Raw genomic sequence first — 17,324 nt, forward strand, 5'->3', positions numbered from 1 at the left:
CCCTACTCTAAGCACTAATGAATGCTCACATGCACAGACATATCCAAAATTAGCCAGATACCATCTAAGACCCTTAAAATTTTTTCTTTCTTTTTTTTTTTTTTTTTTTGTCTGAGACGGAGTCTTGCTCTGTCACCCAGGCTGGAGTGCAGTGGTGTGATCTCAACTCACTGCAACCTCCACCTCCCAGGTCAAGCAATTTTCCTGCCTCAGTCTCCTGAGTAGTTGGGATTACAAGTGTGCACCACCACGCCCAGGTAATTTTATATTTTAGTAGAGACAGGGTTGCACCATGTTGGCCAAGCTGGTCTCGAGCTCCTGACTTCAAGTGATCCACCTGCCTCAGGCTCCCAAAGTGCTGGGATTACAGGCATGAGCCACTGTGCTCTGCCCTTACGACCTGTTTTTGGGATGTGTATGACTTAAATCCATATCCAATAATGATTTTCATTAAAGAAGAAGAAAGTATCTTTGGAAACTGATTATGAAAACTTTTTAACAAAGCATGAGTAAAAGAAGCTTGAGGTTCTTACTTGAAAGCTTGTAATGAAGTTATTAAAGATAGTTATTAGTGAATTAGTCTTATTTTTTATCCTCAAAAACAGAAATTTTGGGGGCGAGCATCTTCTCTCTGTTGACCTGCTTTGGGCCTCTTAATGGCCAAAACTCTAAGATCTTGAGATGAAATGTGGTTGAGCCGTAACGTGATGCTCCTGTCTTAGGATCTCCAATATCCTTCACTCATCCTTTGAGAGCTCATACCTTTAATATTTGGGGTAATTTAAAAATAAAGTTGGTAGACTAAAATATGGGGTAAATTGAATGAAACAGAGCATATGACTTTATTAATGCCTGCATCTAGCTATCTATCTATCTTTCTCTTTCTTTCTTTCTTTCTTTCTTTCTTTCTTTCTTTCTTTCTTTCTTTCTTTCTTTCTTTCAAGTTATTTAGCTTTGAAAGTAAAGTTCTTTGATCAAGAAAAAGTTTGTTCTGGGAAAACTCCATTTTCAAGTATTCCTTAACTACTTGGGCTGAACTATGAAAATTTTTTCTATTTTCCCTTCCTGTTTTCAGAATAGTTACATAAGATAATCTTGCAAAAAAGTGAATGGAGGTCATATTTTAAACAATAAATGGGAAAAGTAATTATTTTACCTATTTCAGATACCAGTTTTTGCTTTAAATGTCACAAATATTGCAGCACCTGGCTTTTTTTCAAAAGAGGACTGAGACACGGGGTTCTGCACTTATCAGTCACTTAAGCTGGGATAATTAGCCACGTGTTAAAATTAAGTTTTCTAGTATAAATTGAAATTTTGAAAAAGACGTAAAATATTATTATAAGTATAAATAACAGGTTAAAATAATTATGCCCTCATTAAAAAAAATTAATTTTTTCCTTTTTGTTCATACTTTTAGATTAATTTTTCCTATTTTAATGATCATTATTGGTTTGTCTATAGTGATTTTACTACATTTTTAAATTCAACTGCTTATTTCCCATTTTGTGCTCACATACATACACACACATTTAATTAAATCTCTTCTAAGCCTTTTGAGTTAATCTTATGGAACTTTGAACTACTTCAAACTAATTATCCTTCTACATCCAACTTGTTTTCATCCTGTACTTTACTTGCAAGAATATTCTTACTATAACTTAGTTGGGCTGACCTGGATATGCAATATTATTTTTAGTTCCTTTTTGTTGTCCATGTTCACATGCTAGCAGTGCAGATTGTCCCAGTTAACCTCATGTCCTTTCTCCCTGTGTATTATGATACTTTCCTAGGTAAAATTGTTTTTTTTATATTTACCTTGTATATTTTTCACTTGAAGTTTATTTTTATTATAATTAATCTAAATATCTCCACATTTGTCAATTCTAATACTTATTTTCTTTTTTTCCCTCTTTGAAATAATCCCATGTTTTCCTATCTTACCCTTTGTCATTTGCCTTTTATTTAAGCTATAACATTAAAAGTGATGAAAAAAATCACTAAGTTCAGTCTCCCACACCCATTTTTTGTTAAACTGTTAGTATTTCTTTTGATAAATTTACTAAATCACAATCCAGTCCTTTTATGTAGCTCATTCTTTATAAAAGAATTAAAATCTTCTTCAGTAACATCTACTTAATACTAGTTATTCTTCTTAGAGCCATATATAAAGATATTTCTTCCTTTTATGTTGTAACCTGTTACATATTGGAGGAGTACTATCATATTCTTCATGTTTTTTTTTTCCAGGTTTAAATATATTTGGTTTATTTTGCTGTTCCTTTTATTTGTCATGGTTTCCAGACCTTTTGCTTTCCTATTTTTCCTTCTGTTTCCTGTAATTTGTAACACCAGAAGTGAATTTTTATTTTAGCAACCACATTTCATTACTGGATTGTAGGCAACTGAAGCCTAAGCTATTTTCACATATAATACCATTAAACAAAATGCCTCTTAGGCTGTACTTTTTCAGGTGCAATTGTATGTGTGTAGTTAATGCATTGAAAAAAAAACTAGAAATACTACATTTTATCTAATTAACTTTGGCTTATTCTGTTTTATAGAATTCTCAAAATCTCATTTAGTGATTCTGTATATTAGCACCTGATAAGAACAGCTTGTATTATCTGCAAATTAAGTATGCTGGATGTGTTTTGTATCAGTTGTTAATAATTTATGTTGAGGAGCATAAGGCCAACTGTAGAAACCTCTAGAGATCTGTTAACCTGAACCTTTTATCAGCATTGTTTGTTGCTATTCAACAATTATGATCCTTCATCTTTACTATTATCTTATTTTCATATCCACTTGAGAATCTCAAGGAAGACCCTGTCAGGTGTTTCTTGAAACTCTTAAGTTATAAAATATTTCTTCTATCAAAACAGTGACATAAAGATTATCTTGCTTTGTTGTTGTAAATCCCCGGTGGCTCCTAGAGATGAAACTACCTCTCTGTTAATTCATTCTAAACATTTGCTAGGGATTAATCCCAAATTTACCAGAGATGCTTACATATTTAGGTTCTGTGACATTTTGGTTGAATTTTAAAATACTTTTACTTTGCAAGATTTGCAAGTTTATTGTTTATTTTGTTTGTTTGGCCTTTGTTTTTTCTGTAGCTCTAACTTTGGGCCTAGCTTCCCTTATTTTTCTTACGTCAACAGCCATTATTAAGAATAGAAGATATTTTTTAAAAAATACTGTTAGTCATTAGTGTTTAATTCTTTCAAAAAATACATCTAAGAGAACTGAAAGTGTACAGTAATTAAAAGTACTGTTTTGAGACAAGTATATTTGGAAGATAGAGTCCATTTTTGAATGTCAATCTAATAGAAAAAGACATACGTCTTAAGAGCAGTTGGCTATGAATAAAATTTGAAGTCTCCATGAATTTTTTGATTATAGCTGAAATTCTTTTTTTAAAAAAACTATTCTAGACTTATTAGTAATGTAGCCGAAATTCTGATAAAATCTTGAAATTTAGTTCTGCTTTTAGGTGAAGGCTTTTCTATGCAGATTTGAAGAGGTAATAGGAATATAGAAATAAGGTTTTATCATCAGATCATGTATATTAGGCAACAGGAAGAGAGGATAAAGTCATTCTCTTAGCAACAAAATATCCTAGCATTTCTTGGTTTGAAGCCCACTATGCTGTGTTCAATACTTACATCTCTTAATCAACAAACATATATTGAACATAAATTGTTTGCCAAGCGAGACAGATTCAATCTCTGCCTTCTGAGTTTATGATCTAGTCAGAAAGACAAACAAGTAATTAAATAGGAATAAACATTTTAGGTGACATCTGAAGGGTTAGTAGAAGGTGAAGGATGCTAGTGGAGAAGGTTTATGGGGATGAGTTACATCATATGGAGTCCCTAAAGTATAATTTAATAGTTCCCTGAAACATTTTAGGCCATCACTTGATCTAGACTATTAATGCACTGTTGAATTAGATTCTATAACATATTCTTCTTGTTTGAGGATCCATTGTTTACTCACAAGAGAGCTTTGGCTATGAGTTTTCTAGCTAAATCCTAGGATTATAGCTATAGCTTTTCTGGCATCTTAATGATCAAGGTTCTAAAACAGAAATCAATTAATGCCATATGCATAGGCATTTTATTATATCCCTGTTTTAGGACTTAGTATATTCTGTCAGTAGCAAATGTTCATAATGTGTGCAGATGATGTTTTCCTTATATGTTTAAAAATGAGCTCACGTGGTTTTTAGCTGATGTGTTAAAGGAGAACTCTACTCAGAAGTGTGCTTCCAAGTATTCAGTCAGTTGGCCTTTGCTTTAAGTTGTTGCAACTCTGACCTCCCCAAAAGTTGGATCTTGAGGGAAGCAGAGGTGATGCAATGCTTTCTCTGCCCCTCTACCTGTTTCTTTTCTCTCATTTTTTGGTGTCTTTAACATGAGAACATTTTTCTTGTGTCTCTCCATTTTCTAATTCATATGTTCTTGAGTAAATCAGTAGATCTCTGAGAAACATGTTCTTCCTAACCAGAAGTCCCAAATTCCCACATCTTCATCCATGATCCAGTAAAAAATTTTCTTATCATCTGTGTAGCCACATTTTCATTTATTTATATCTTAATTTCTCTTCATATCTTCAGCTGTTGAAGAAGAGATGAAAGTACTGTCTGTGTTGGTGAAGTTTGTTTCTTGATGAGACTTGCACTCAAATATACCTGTTTTGTCCCTGTTTGCCAAGCACTGCGCTAAGAATCTGATAGTTTGCAAGACATAGCCCCTAACTTTATCATCTCTTATGATTATGCTGTTTTTTTTCCCTGCAGTGTCCTTTTTTTCCTACCTGGGTTATCAGTGATGAATAGCACTTGATGTAGGAGGATTGGATAAATTTGGTTAGATTTATCATTTCTTTTCGCAGGAAAACACAGCAGCAAGAAAGTGTATTTCTAAAAGATCCTGTTAGATTGCATTCAGCCATTGCATTCAAGGAGTCACCAAATACTTTGAAACTCTTGCAGAACTTCCTGAGTGTGTTGTGTAATGTTAAGCTGCTTCTCCAGCTTTTGATTTTACCTCAATAGGAAAAACATTATATGGAACCAGTATTTGAAATTCCTTTTTATTTCCTTTTTTTCCATTTATTCTTTCACTCATCAATATATAGACAGGGATTTTGATTTCTGTACTGCCACTTTCAGAATTTTTTTTCTGGTTTCTTTCCTCCTTCCTAATGTGGAACCCATTTTCTTTTGCAAGTCACAACAAAGGCAGGAATGTTTTCAACCTTTTTACCTTGCTCTCAAGCAGGGAGGTAGTGTCTGCTTACAAAGATCATGTGTGAGATGAATTTGAGGTAATGGCTAAATAGCTAACGAGTAGCAAGCCTGTTAGTTAGAAGGCAGAACAATGAGTGAAAGAGGCAGATTTTAGAGACTTTTATATTCATTGTATTTGTTGGAGCCAAATAAAAATAGAAAAAAAGATTAAGGTTAGTAGCAACACTCACATTTAAGGAACAATAACCAACAAAAACGAAAGAGGAAGGGGTAGCTATGAAGATGTAAGGGTGCAAACAGAAGTACAAAGATACGAAAAACAAATAGCAAAATATTAAGAAAAACTTGTTTATAAATCATTAAAGTGCTATAGTAGAGGATAAGAAGAATGAGACCTTTTAGTTTTACACGAGCACATCAGCGGAAACTTTGGGATGAAGAGTTTTAAGTACAGTGGTGGTGTTTCTATTATCTCTTGTTGTGTTACAAAAAACAAAAACAAAACAAAAAAAACAAACAAACCCCAAAACTTAGAGAATTAAAACAATAATTACTTACTTGTTCATGACTGCAATTTAGCTGGGTAGTTTTACTAGTCTATTAGAAGATTGTTAAATAGTCCAAGCCTACCTAAGACAATACTAATGGGAATCTGTAATTATATGTGGTAATACCTACAGTGTCTCTGAAGTTTGGAATCAAAATCAAACACATCCACAGCAGTGTGTTGGTAAACTGACTCTCCAAGGTTAAAAAGATAAGATTTGTAGCATTTGCTGATATCTGTGGAGTGTAGATTCTCATCATAGTTCAGCTACCAACATGGAGTAACTGAACACAAAGTTTCAAAGGGATGCATGCAATTCACTCTCAGGAGCTAATATGAATTGGCCTAAGGCTCCAGTAGCTTTCTCTGAAATATCACCATTATCTCTTGATTCAAGAAAGAATTTGAGGCAGCTTAATGAAATAAACACTTAATAAAATAGGATTAAATAAGTGGAGGAGGAATTTTATGTAAAAGGAAAATAAGAATAGGAAAGTAAAAGTAAGAATAAAGTTGGTAGTACATGAAATAAATGCCCATTATAAGGCTCTGAACAGTTGCTATAGGTGAACTAAGGGTTTGGCCAAAACAAAGCTAAAAGAATCAAGAATAAAGTTAGTAGTGCATGAAATGATTGTCCATCATGAGGCTCTGAGCAATTGCTGTAGGTGAACTAAGGGTTTGGCTGGTCGTGGTGGCTCACGCCTGTAATCCCAGCACTTTGGGAGACTGAGGCGGGTGGATCACGAGGTTAGGAGTTCAAGACCAGGCTGGCCAAGATGGTGAAACCTCGTCTCTACTAAAAAATACAAAAAAAAATTAGCCAGGTGTGGTCGCAGGTGCCTGTAATCTTAGCTACTTGGGAGGCTGAGCCAGGGGAATTGCTTGAACCCGGGGGGCGGAGGTTGCACTGAACTGAGATCACGCCACTGCACTCCAGCCTGGGCAACAGAGTGAGACTGTGTCTCAAAAAAAAAAAAAAAAAAAAAAAAAAAAGCAAGAATCAAGAATAGTGTTGACAGTGTACCTCACATAAAAACAAATCAGCTTATCAGGAGAAACAAAACTTGCTGGATGCCAGAGAAAGATAGTGAATAATGAGAAAAGGATACTGCTTCCTCAACATTATTGCAAAAGTAAGATGGCAATATTTTCATGATGTTTCTTGAAACATTTTAAGGCAAGATGCTGATAGTGCCAAAACAATTCAGAAAAAATGTTATTTTCTCAGAGAAAAAAAAAAAGTAAAATTGGCAACTTGGGATCTGTAGTAGAAGGATTTGAAGTCATTGTTATGGAGTTTGTATCTTACTGGAAAAATACCTGGGAGCCCTGACTACTAGTATATTTAGGCTGTTTAGAAAGATGATTCCATCCATGTCATTAAGAGTTTGCAGACAAGGAAGCTAACAAAATATATCAAGATTCTAAGTGTGGGATAATTAGGGGCTCAACCAGTGTCCTTTTTTAACTGGTAGGGGTGATCCATCTTTCATTTTTGACTGTGTATGCAGGTGTACTCCTTTCTCAGGCCTTCCAGTGTCAGCTTTATGGATGGAGAGAATTCGACTAGGTACTTTCAGTGATGAATAAGATGTGATCTTTGTCTTCAACTTTCAATGTCTTGTCTTTCTATGAACCTTTTCTCATTCCTTTCTGCCCTTGTTATCCTTGACTGGTCTTATCCTGACAGTTCCCCTTGGCTTCTTGCCTTAAATGGAGATTTTTTTCTCCCATTATTTATTCCCCTTCACTGGTGATTGCTCAGGCAGCCCAACTTGAAAGTAGGGTAGGAAAGAGTTTAGGGCCACCAGAAAATGCTCAGAAGCCCCTGTTCTCATCACTCCTACTTCTGAGTTCTTCTCTTGTTCCTCTTGGGCACAGAGGTGCTGCTGTTAATTCCTCCCTGCCCACCTTTCCATAGAGTCCGTGCGTCCTGGTGCCTCCTACAAACGGCAGAATGAAGGAAATCCTGAAAGAGGTGAGTTTTGAGCTAGACTCTGATTTGGGATTGTGAAGGGGTGGGAGACTTGAACTGATAGCGGTTATGGAAATGGGGAAAGTGTATAACTGCTCCATTAGTCTATTGTGAGAACCACAGTTAGCAGTAGACCTAGGTACTAGGATTTGGGGGGCATTTGTGGGCTGGTATCTGGGCTAGCCATTCCTGGATGGGAATAGCCATTCTGTAGGAGGCTGAGATCTGTAGAATAGACAGGCCATTGGAAGATAGGACCTGACAACAGTAGGATCAAGTGATTTCTGTTTACTCTTTTTGTGTTCTTTCTTTTGCCATTTGTATCATTGTTTTCTTTATCCTTTGCTGCTTGCTTTCTGCTCCCATTGTTGCAACAGGGACATATGAATATATGTGGGTATATGATAAACCTCCTGCACCACCCTTCAGTGTTCCTTTGCTTTTGCACATGAAATTGGTTGATAACGACTTAAATTAGCCTTTGGGCAGCTAAAATCAGGAAAGGTCCAAGACTATACTTCGGGATGATATGTTTGTAAAGGAAACACTAAGCAAAAGATCAACAGCTGCTTGTGACAGGTTTTTTTCCCCTCTGTGTCTAGCTGATAAGTGCTAAAGAATTGAGCCTGTAATTATGCCTTTAATAAGCATAATGTGCTATGCTGATTGGTCCAGTGCCTTGTCTCCTTTGAAGGGATTGCTTATCTGAATAGGATTGGGAGGTCATTGCATCTTAGGTATAGAAAAGTGAGGTTCATCTTTTTATCTGATTTTCGAGTGCCTACCCTTTTCTTGAAGGACTTGAGCTAAGTAGGCCACAGATATTTGGAAATGAATAAGCTATAGCACTTGTTCTTCTGGGAGCTTTTGGTGTAATGGGATACACTGACACTATCACACTATGATGTGAAATTTGCCACATGCAATGGAAATACAATAAGGAATGACTTAAGTATATCATGTTCTTGGCCATTTGGGATACAGTAGTGGTGCTTTTGAGTTTTAAGGTCTACAAGAACTTTTAAAGTTGCTTAGGGTGAAAGCCTCTTGTAGTACCACAAGTTAAAAGACTCTAGGGCTGTATCGTTCTAAAGCTGTTGGAGCTTAAAAACTGGAATACTCAGCCTAGGGCAGGAGTCCTCAACCTCTGCACAATTGACATGTAAGGCCAGTTAATTCTTTGTTGTTGGGGTGTCCCCCATAGCAGGACATTTGCCAGCATCCCTGTCTTCTACTAAATATATGCCAGTAGCCCTCTCCCACTTGTGACAGTCAAAAATATCTGCACATACTACCAAATGTCTGTGGAGGGGAGGTGCAAAATTGTCCTCAGTTAAGAACCACTGGGCTAGAGAAAGTGTTTTGGGTCTGTAGGACATTAGAAAGGTGTTATTCACCACTTTCCTAGGTGGTTGGAAGTCTTTGAGCCTCCAGGACCTTATTTATCTATCTTGGCTGTGGCAGGAAGAGCTTAAGAGGCTTTTTGACTGAAGCTGGCTTTGCCTCAGTTTCAAAGTCGTTTTATCTCTGCTTTTGCTCTTGACTGCTTTGCTGTTAATCCACTGTCCAGTCTCGACCAGCTTCTGTGTGACTCCAAATTTTATGCCACTTTCTCTTCTCATGTTATTAATTTTGTTAGTTTTTCTAGCAACAAAGGGCAGAGGATTATATATTTGGCACATATAGACAATTTAATGAAATGTTTTTCTGTAACAGCTCACTGTTATTAATTTTTAAGAGTATATTTAACTAAACCTATCTTTTAGGGAGTTGTTGAACCTGCTAAAGTACTATTGTTTAAATGTATTTTCTGGCTCAAGTTTCTATAAAAAATAATATACATACAGCACTATGTGAGTAAAGTGACTAAAGGTAAAGATTAGTGACTTTATCTCATACAGGTTTATTTTTAACCATTTAACAAATATTTGGGCATTCATTAATGCCAGGCACTGATTAGTGCTCTGAATTATAGCTTTCTAACTTTATGTTTAAAACTGTCTAAACATTTCAGGAATATCTGCTAAAGTTCCTATGTAGATCCTCTTGAGCTACCCCTTGATTAACTAGTTCTCCTCGGTATCTATATAATAACTACCTTTGTATTTTTATTGTGATATATCAAAAATTAGCATTTAGGAGCATGGAAGAAGTAGCATTCATGGTTTTAAAATATGTTTTGCCTTTCTTGAAGTCTCTGTGGCTCCATGTTTACTTACTAGCAGTGCTGTGGCCTAGACTGGCTTCTATGATATCCTTTGGTTCCAGGTTATTTCAGATTGTTGATGGTGCTTAGCCTCTGAGAGGTAGTTTTAGATATTAACCTATTTAATGTAATAATGTAATGAAAAGTTTTAGTACTAAAATAAGTGTATGACCCCCACATTAATTCCATTACAAAATTACTTTATCAAAAACAAATTAGCTAGAAAAAAAATTACATCTTATGTTTTCTTATATAGATAAAGAGAGGCCTGTCCAGTCTTTGAAAACATCAAGAGATACTTCACCCTCAAGTGGTTCAGCAGTTTCTTCATCAAAGGTTTGTTATATTTCTAAAATCAGTTTAAAGAAGAATTACAAATTGAGATGGACTGACTAGTACAGATGCTTTTATTCTTTACTGTTATGCCAAGGGAGCTAATTTGCTGCATTTAAAAACTTAAATTTTTGGCTAGGTGTGGTGGCTCATGCCTGTAATCCCAGGACTTTGAGAGACTGAGATTGTAGGGAAAAGAAAGAGAGATCAGACTATTACTGTGTCTTTGTAGAAAGGGAAGACATAAGAAACTCCATTTTGACCTGTACCCTGAACAATTGCTTTGCCCTGAGATGCTGTTGATCTGTAACTTTGCCCCAACCTTGAGCTCACAAAAACATGTGTTGTATGGAATCAAGGTTTAAGGGATCTAGGGCTGTGCAGGATGTGCCTTGTTAACAAAATATTTACAAGCAGTATGCGTGGTAAAAGTCATCGCCATTCTCTAGTCTCGATAAACCAGGGGCACAATGCACTGCGGAACGCCGCAGGGACCTCTGCCCTGGAAAGCCAGGTATTGTCCAAGGTTTCTCCCCATGTGACAGTCTGAAATATGGCCTTGTGGGATGAGAATGACCTGACCATCCCCCAGCCCAACACCCGTAAAGGGTCTGTGCTGAGGTGGATTATTAAAAGAGGAAAGCCTCTTGCAGTTGAGATAGTGGAAGGCTACTGTCTCCTGCCTGCCCTGGGAACTGAATGTCTTGGTATAAAACCCGATTGTACATTTGTTCAGTTCTGAGATAGGAGAAAAACCACCCTATGGCAGGAGGCGAGACATGCTGGCGGCAATGCTGCTTTGTTATTCTTTACTCCACTGAGATGTTTGGGCGGAGAGAAACATAAATCTGGCCTACTTGCACATCCAGGCATAGTACCTCCCCTTGAACTTAATTGTGACACAGATTCCTTTGCTCACATGTTTTCTTGCTGACCTTCTCCCTATTATCACCCTGCTCTCCTACTGCATTCCTCTTGCTGAGATAGTGAAAATAACAATAAAAACTGAGGGAACTCAGAGACCGGTGCTGGTGCAGGTCCTTATTATGGTGAGCGTCGGTCCCCTGGGCCCACTTTTCTTTCTCTATACTTTGTCTCTGTGTCTTATTTCTTTTCTCAGTCTCTCGTCCCACCTGACGAGATATACCCACAGGTGTGGAGGGGCAGGCCACCCCTTCATGAGATGGGAGAATTGCTTGAGGCCAGGAGTTCACAACTAGCCTTGGTAACGTAGCAAGACTTTATTTTAAAAATTAAAAATTAGCCAGATGTGGTGGCATGCACCTGTAGTCCTAGCTATTCAGGAGGCTGAGGTGAGAGGATCACTTGAGCCCAGGAGGTTGAGCCAGCAGTGAGCTATGATTGCACCACTGCACTCTAGCCTGGGTGACAGAGCAAGATGCTGTCTCTGAAAAATAAAAACAGGCCGGGCATGGTGGCTTACGCCGGTAATCCCAGCACTTTGGGAGGCTGAGGCGGGTGGATCATGAGGTCAGGAGGTCGAGACCATCCTGGCTAACACAGTGAAGCCGTGTCTCTACTAAAAATACAAAGAATTGGCTGGGTGTGGTGGCTCATGTCCGTAATCCTAGCACTTTGGGAGGCCGAGGCAGGCGGATCATGAGGTCAAGAGATCGAGACCATCCTGGCCAACGTGGTGAAACCCCGTCTCTACTAAAAATACAAAAAAATTAGCTGGCCGTGGTGGCAGGCGCCTGTAGTCCCAGCTACGTAGGAGGCTGAGGCAGGAGAATGGCTTGAACTTAGGAGGCGGAACTTGCAGTGAGCCGAGATCACGCCACTGCACTCCAGCCTGGTAACAGAGTGAGACTCCGTCTCAAAACAAAAACAAAAATAAACAAACAAAAAAAAAAACAATTAGCCGGGTGTGGTGGCACGTGCCTGTAGTCCCAGGTACTTGGGAGGCCAAGGCAGGAGAATTGCTTGAATCCGGGAGGCGGGTGTTGCAGTGAGCTGAGATCACGCCACTGCACTCCAGCCTGGGCGACAGAGCGAGACTCTGTCTCAAAAAAACAAAAAACAAAACCGCTTACATTTTAAATAACCACAGCTTGAAAATAGCAACCCGAGTTTCTATGAGGAAAAATGGGCAGTTTTCTCACTGAATTTTTAACACAGTCTATGCCAAATTTAGTACTTATTGCTGCAACCCATATTCTCATCTTGACCATAAGCAGGTTGGATGGGTTATATCTGGTGGATTGTGCTTTTATTTGGGGAGTTGGGAGTGTAGGCAGATACCTAACATGTATGGTGTATTTTTTCTTTTATTCATACAGAAATCTTAGTAGGTACATATCTCTATTCTATAGTAGAGTGAGGGCTCAGGAGTTATTAATTTCTTAAGGACATAGCTACCCCTCACTATACCATTCTTCTCATTCCTACTTTTCTAGCATCTCAAAACATAAATCCTCAGAAATTAAAAACTTGACAAGTTGCTGTTTCCATCTGTTCTCTCCAGTTAGAAGTTCTCTTCACAGATATCATACCCTTTCTCTTAGCCATAACGGTTGTTACATCTGTTACCTGCTTTACTTCTTTTCATTCTGCCTTTTATACTTTTTGGCTTTTTAGGAAGAGTAGATATCACCTAGCGGTATATACTGGGTGTCTGGGGGGCAGCTGCTTCCCTGCCTCAGGAGGAAAAAAACAGCTTCTTTGTGACAACTTGTATCTTTGGAACTTTCCCAGAAGTCTGAGGGTTCTGGGATTCTGGATTTTGAATAGCAAAGACCAATTGGATTATGGTTCTGTCTTAAACATATCAAGGGTGCTTTACCCACCTGGAACACTGCCTTGGTTTTCATGTCAGGTAATAGATGAAAGAAGAGTAAATAGTACCTGCCTATCAAAGTCACTACAAAAATTCAAATTATTATATATGAAATATTTTCTCTGAAATATACTGCTATCTGAATATAAGTTACAACATAGAGTTTTGTGCTACATGTTAAAAGTTTTAGTGGAAAACAACCATGTTGAATTTTTAACTACTTTTGTCTGATAGTTTCATGTAGATCAAGCTTGATCTACATGCAACTGTGGCCCAGGATGGCTTTGAATACAGCCCAACACAAATTCCTAAACTTTCTTAAAACATTACGTGATTTTTTCCTTTTTTTTTTTTTTAAGCTCATCAGCTATTCTTAGTGTTAGTGTATTCTATGTGTGGTCCAAGACAATTCTAACGTGGCCCAGGGAAGCCAAAGATTGGATGCCCCTGATGTAAATGTTTGCATTTTTTTTTTCACAGACCGTGAAGTTTTTTTTTTTTTTTTTTGTATATAAAAATAGAGATGGGGTCTTGCTATGTTGCCCAGCCTGGTTTCAAACTCCTGGTCTCAAATGATCCTTCCACCTTGGCCTCCTAAAGTGCTGTGATTACAGGCGTGAGCCACTGTGCCTAGCCAGACTATAAAATCTTAAAATGGAATCAAAATATCACAATTTTAGATCCATAGTTATTTTACATATTCAGAAGGTAGCGCCCTCTTTGATTTGCCCAAGGTCACATGGTAGCTGTGGGGAGCTTTATGAGCTAGATTTCCTGATTTGGTGAACTCTTTGATGTAACATTATGGCTGCCCATATGTTGGGATACTTTTTCAGAGTTTGTTAGTTTCAAATGATAGGTTTTCGAATGTGCAGAGAGAATGACAATAAGTTATAGTAGGCTTTTGCTTCATTCTTTTTGAAGGGCAGAACGGAGTTTCACTCTGTCGTCCAGGCTGGAGTGCAATGGCATAATCTCGGCTCACTGCAACCTCCACCTCCCAGGTTCAAGCAATTCTCCTGCCTCAACCTCCCAAGTAGCTGGGATTACAGGCGCCTGCCACCACACCTGGCTAATTTTTGTATATGTAGTAGAGATGGGGTTTCACCGTGTTGGCCAGGCTGGTCTGGTCTCACACTCCTGACCTCAGGTGATCCGCCCGCCTCAGCCTCCCAAAGTGCTGGGATTACAGGTATGAGCCACTGCTCCCAGCTGCTTCATTCTTTGCTAGAGAGAAGTCATATAATTGTTTTTGCTCTTTAATTTTCTCTTAAATAGGTATGCCCCCTCACCCCCTGGAAAAAAAAACAACTTTCTTGGATATATTTGTGTTTGTATATGTGTTTTCTTCTTCTAACTAGCTTTTAAAAAAACCTTCTATTACTGAGTAATAATAAAAGTATTACTTATAATACCTTTTTAACCTTATATATGGACACGGCTTTGGAATGAGCTGTTTAAGCTTCCTCAATGGCTGTAGAATATACTTCATATAGATATATTGCTATAATATTCCAGTAAATGTAGATGGCTAGCCAGTAGTTTGATGAATTTAACAAGGTGTAGAAAAACATCAAATGACCTTTTCAGTTAAAAAAATGTCTAAGCCAGGCACGTTGGCTCATGCTTGTAATCTCAGCACTTTGGGAGGCCGAGGCAGGCGGATAACCTGAGCTCAGGAGTTTGAGACCAGCCTGGCCAACGTGGTGAAATCCTGTCTCTACTAAAAATACAAAAATTACCCGGTTATGGTGTGCGCATTTGTACTGTTAGCTACTCGGGAGGCTGAGGTTGGGGAATCGCTTGAACCCAGGAGGCGGAGGTTGCAGTGAGCCGAGATCGCGGCACTGCACTTGAGCCTGGGTGACAGAGTGAGACTGCATTCCCCCTCGCCCCTCCCAAAAAAGCCTAGATTTAAGTCCCAGCTCAGCATTTATTAATGACTTTGAGCAGGTCACCATCATTCAGTTTTTTAGTTTATGAGTTGGGATAATAAAGCCTCTCTAATCACCTTCATGGAATTCTATTTAATTAAAGTACTTCTTTTGGTTCATAGATAAAAGCACTTTATAAATGGTAGTGCCCCATAAGTTCAGTGCCCAGCACTGTCATCCACAAGAGGTATATTTGGAATCAGTGATGTGACTTTAGAGAAGTAAAGCTTAGTAATAGAAGGTTTTTTAAGAAGAGATGGTTATGCAACTAAGCATGGCAGGGCAAAGCTGATGAAAATGTATACCAAGGAAGTAGAATGGAATCAGAGAATTACCTTAACGGCCCTAAGGAAATAATTTTTAAATTTGTGCTTGACAATTCATATCTTATTTACAAAATAAGCCTTTAAACAGTACTGGGGGAATTATATCTGATCCAGAAAAGACATTTTACTTTCTTCATTTTTATATTGAGCCCATTGGCTGATTGATTTTCAGATATGTTTTAGTATAATAGATTCACATCAGTGAATATGGAAAAGAAAGAAACACTAAGGTACCAAGCATTATTGTGGATACTTCCAGATCTATTACCTCCTTCAATTCTCACAACTGCTTTGCAAAGTGAGCATTATTAACCCCTATTTTGTAAATGAAGAAACCAAGGCTCATGGTGTCGTAAGTTAGGTGTATAAAGTCATCTACCTAGCAAGTCATTAAACTGCGATTCAAAGCCAGGTCTGTATATAACTGCAAAGTCCATACCTTGTTTAGTATTGTGTGCAGTTAGATAAAGGAACTAGTAGTAGGATCAAAAAATGAAATTTAAGTTTAAAAATTTTGTGTAAGGAGTAGGATTTATGTAACTCACTGTACACTGTAATAATAGCATATCTGTACGTTTCTGTTGTATTAGGAGTTTGCTTTACTGAAATTTAGACATTACTTATTTCATTAAATATGCTTAAAGGCACAAAGTTGAAATCAGTATGATGTCTTTTATATTCTAAATATAATTATTATATGAGTTAATTGTCAGTGTCTTTTGCTTTGTTACTTAGATGAATTTCTAGAGTCTTATGTAAATGAAATTAAGAATTAGATCTGGTCTATATGTCCCAAAGGAATTGCTACTTAAAGTAATTCCATGTTGAATATTTTTGAAGGAGGAAATAAAGAATGTACCTGTTCTCCATAGAAATTTGGAGGCTTATATGATTTTAAATGTAAGTGGAGTGTACTTCTTGGTGTATTTGAAGTTTAAAAGCCCTTGAGAATTGTAACAGAAATGTTCTATTTTTATTAGGTGTTAGACAAACCCAGTAGGCTAACTGAAAAGGAACTTGCTGAGGCTGCAAGCAAGTGGGCTGCTGAAAAGCTAGAGAAATCAGATGAAAGTAACTTGCCTGAAATTTCTGAGTATGAGGTAAGGCATAATGTCTCCTTTATGTTTCACATCTGAAAGTTTTGTCTGGATTTTAAATTATGGGCGAAAAATATTTGGTTTATTCCTATACTTCAAAATATATCCTTATGGATTACAGGTATTAAAATTACCACACAGAATGATAGTCAGAATATGAATGACTCTGAATTCAGTAATCACGCTTTGTCTGAATGTTTCCTGTAGTTTTGGTGTGTAAGAATAGTATAAATATGGAGTATAAGAAAAATGCGTTATTTATATACTTCTTTTAATGGGCTTTGCTGTTAAAAGTATCTCAGGAAATCATGCTAAGCCACTAGTTATAAACCAGTGAATTCAGAACAGAAATCTAATTTGACCTTGGATTGTGGACCATATTTATATTGCTTGTTATACTTCATGCAGATTATCTCATAAATATCCCAAGAAATAAAATTATTCATTGTCTGGGCAACCCGAGACCTTGATGAGTCTTGAATACCGAAAGATGGGAACATTTTTGGGACCATAGAAAAAGGTTTATGACACGTTTGTATTAACATATTTTGAAATGAACTGAAAAATTTCTGTATAAACTGTAACATCTCTAAAAGGGAAATATAGAAATTCTGTGGTCACAATTAAGCTTTTAGATTCAGGATTTGATACTATAGGAATTCTTTGACATGACAGGTAGAGAATATAAAAATCCGTCCCGTGACAAATTATTTTTATTTGAAGGAGCATTCTGGCTTTTTGATTTACTTTTGGAATGACTTTTATAGAATGTTCTTTGATAAAAGGGATCAAGCATTGATATTGTATGTAAAAATAATACTTAACTACATCTTTATACAGTGAAAAGAT

At 37.2% G+C, this 17,324-nt stretch overlaps 1 protein-coding gene across 41 annotated transcripts in view; it reads left to right on the forward strand.

Annotated features, from left to right (window-relative positions):
- PPHLN1 (periphilin 1) overlaps nt 1-17,324 on the forward strand; it is a 122,455-nt gene that overhangs the window by 51,045 nt on the left and 54,086 nt on the right. For 21 of the 41 annotated variants that reach the window (NM_001364826.2, XM_047428972.1, XM_047428971.1 and 18 more), the window contains 2 exons: nt 10,245-10,324; nt 16,359-16,478. In NM_001364826.2, the coding sequence (NP_001351755.1) occupies nt 10,245-10,324; nt 16,359-16,478 (200 nt within the window). Of the gene's footprint in view, nt 1-7,728; nt 7,786-10,244; nt 10,325-16,358; nt 16,479-17,324 lie in introns of all 41 variants that reach the window. The other 20 variants (XM_017019434.2, XM_011538459.2, XM_017019436.2 and 17 more) reach the window with 1 other exon arrangement.

Source organism: Homo sapiens, chromosome 12 (assembly GCF_000001405.40).
Source record: "Homo sapiens chromosome 12, GRCh38.p14 Primary Assembly".
Lineage (NCBI taxonomy): Eukaryota > Metazoa > Chordata > Mammalia > Primates > Hominidae > Homo > Homo sapiens.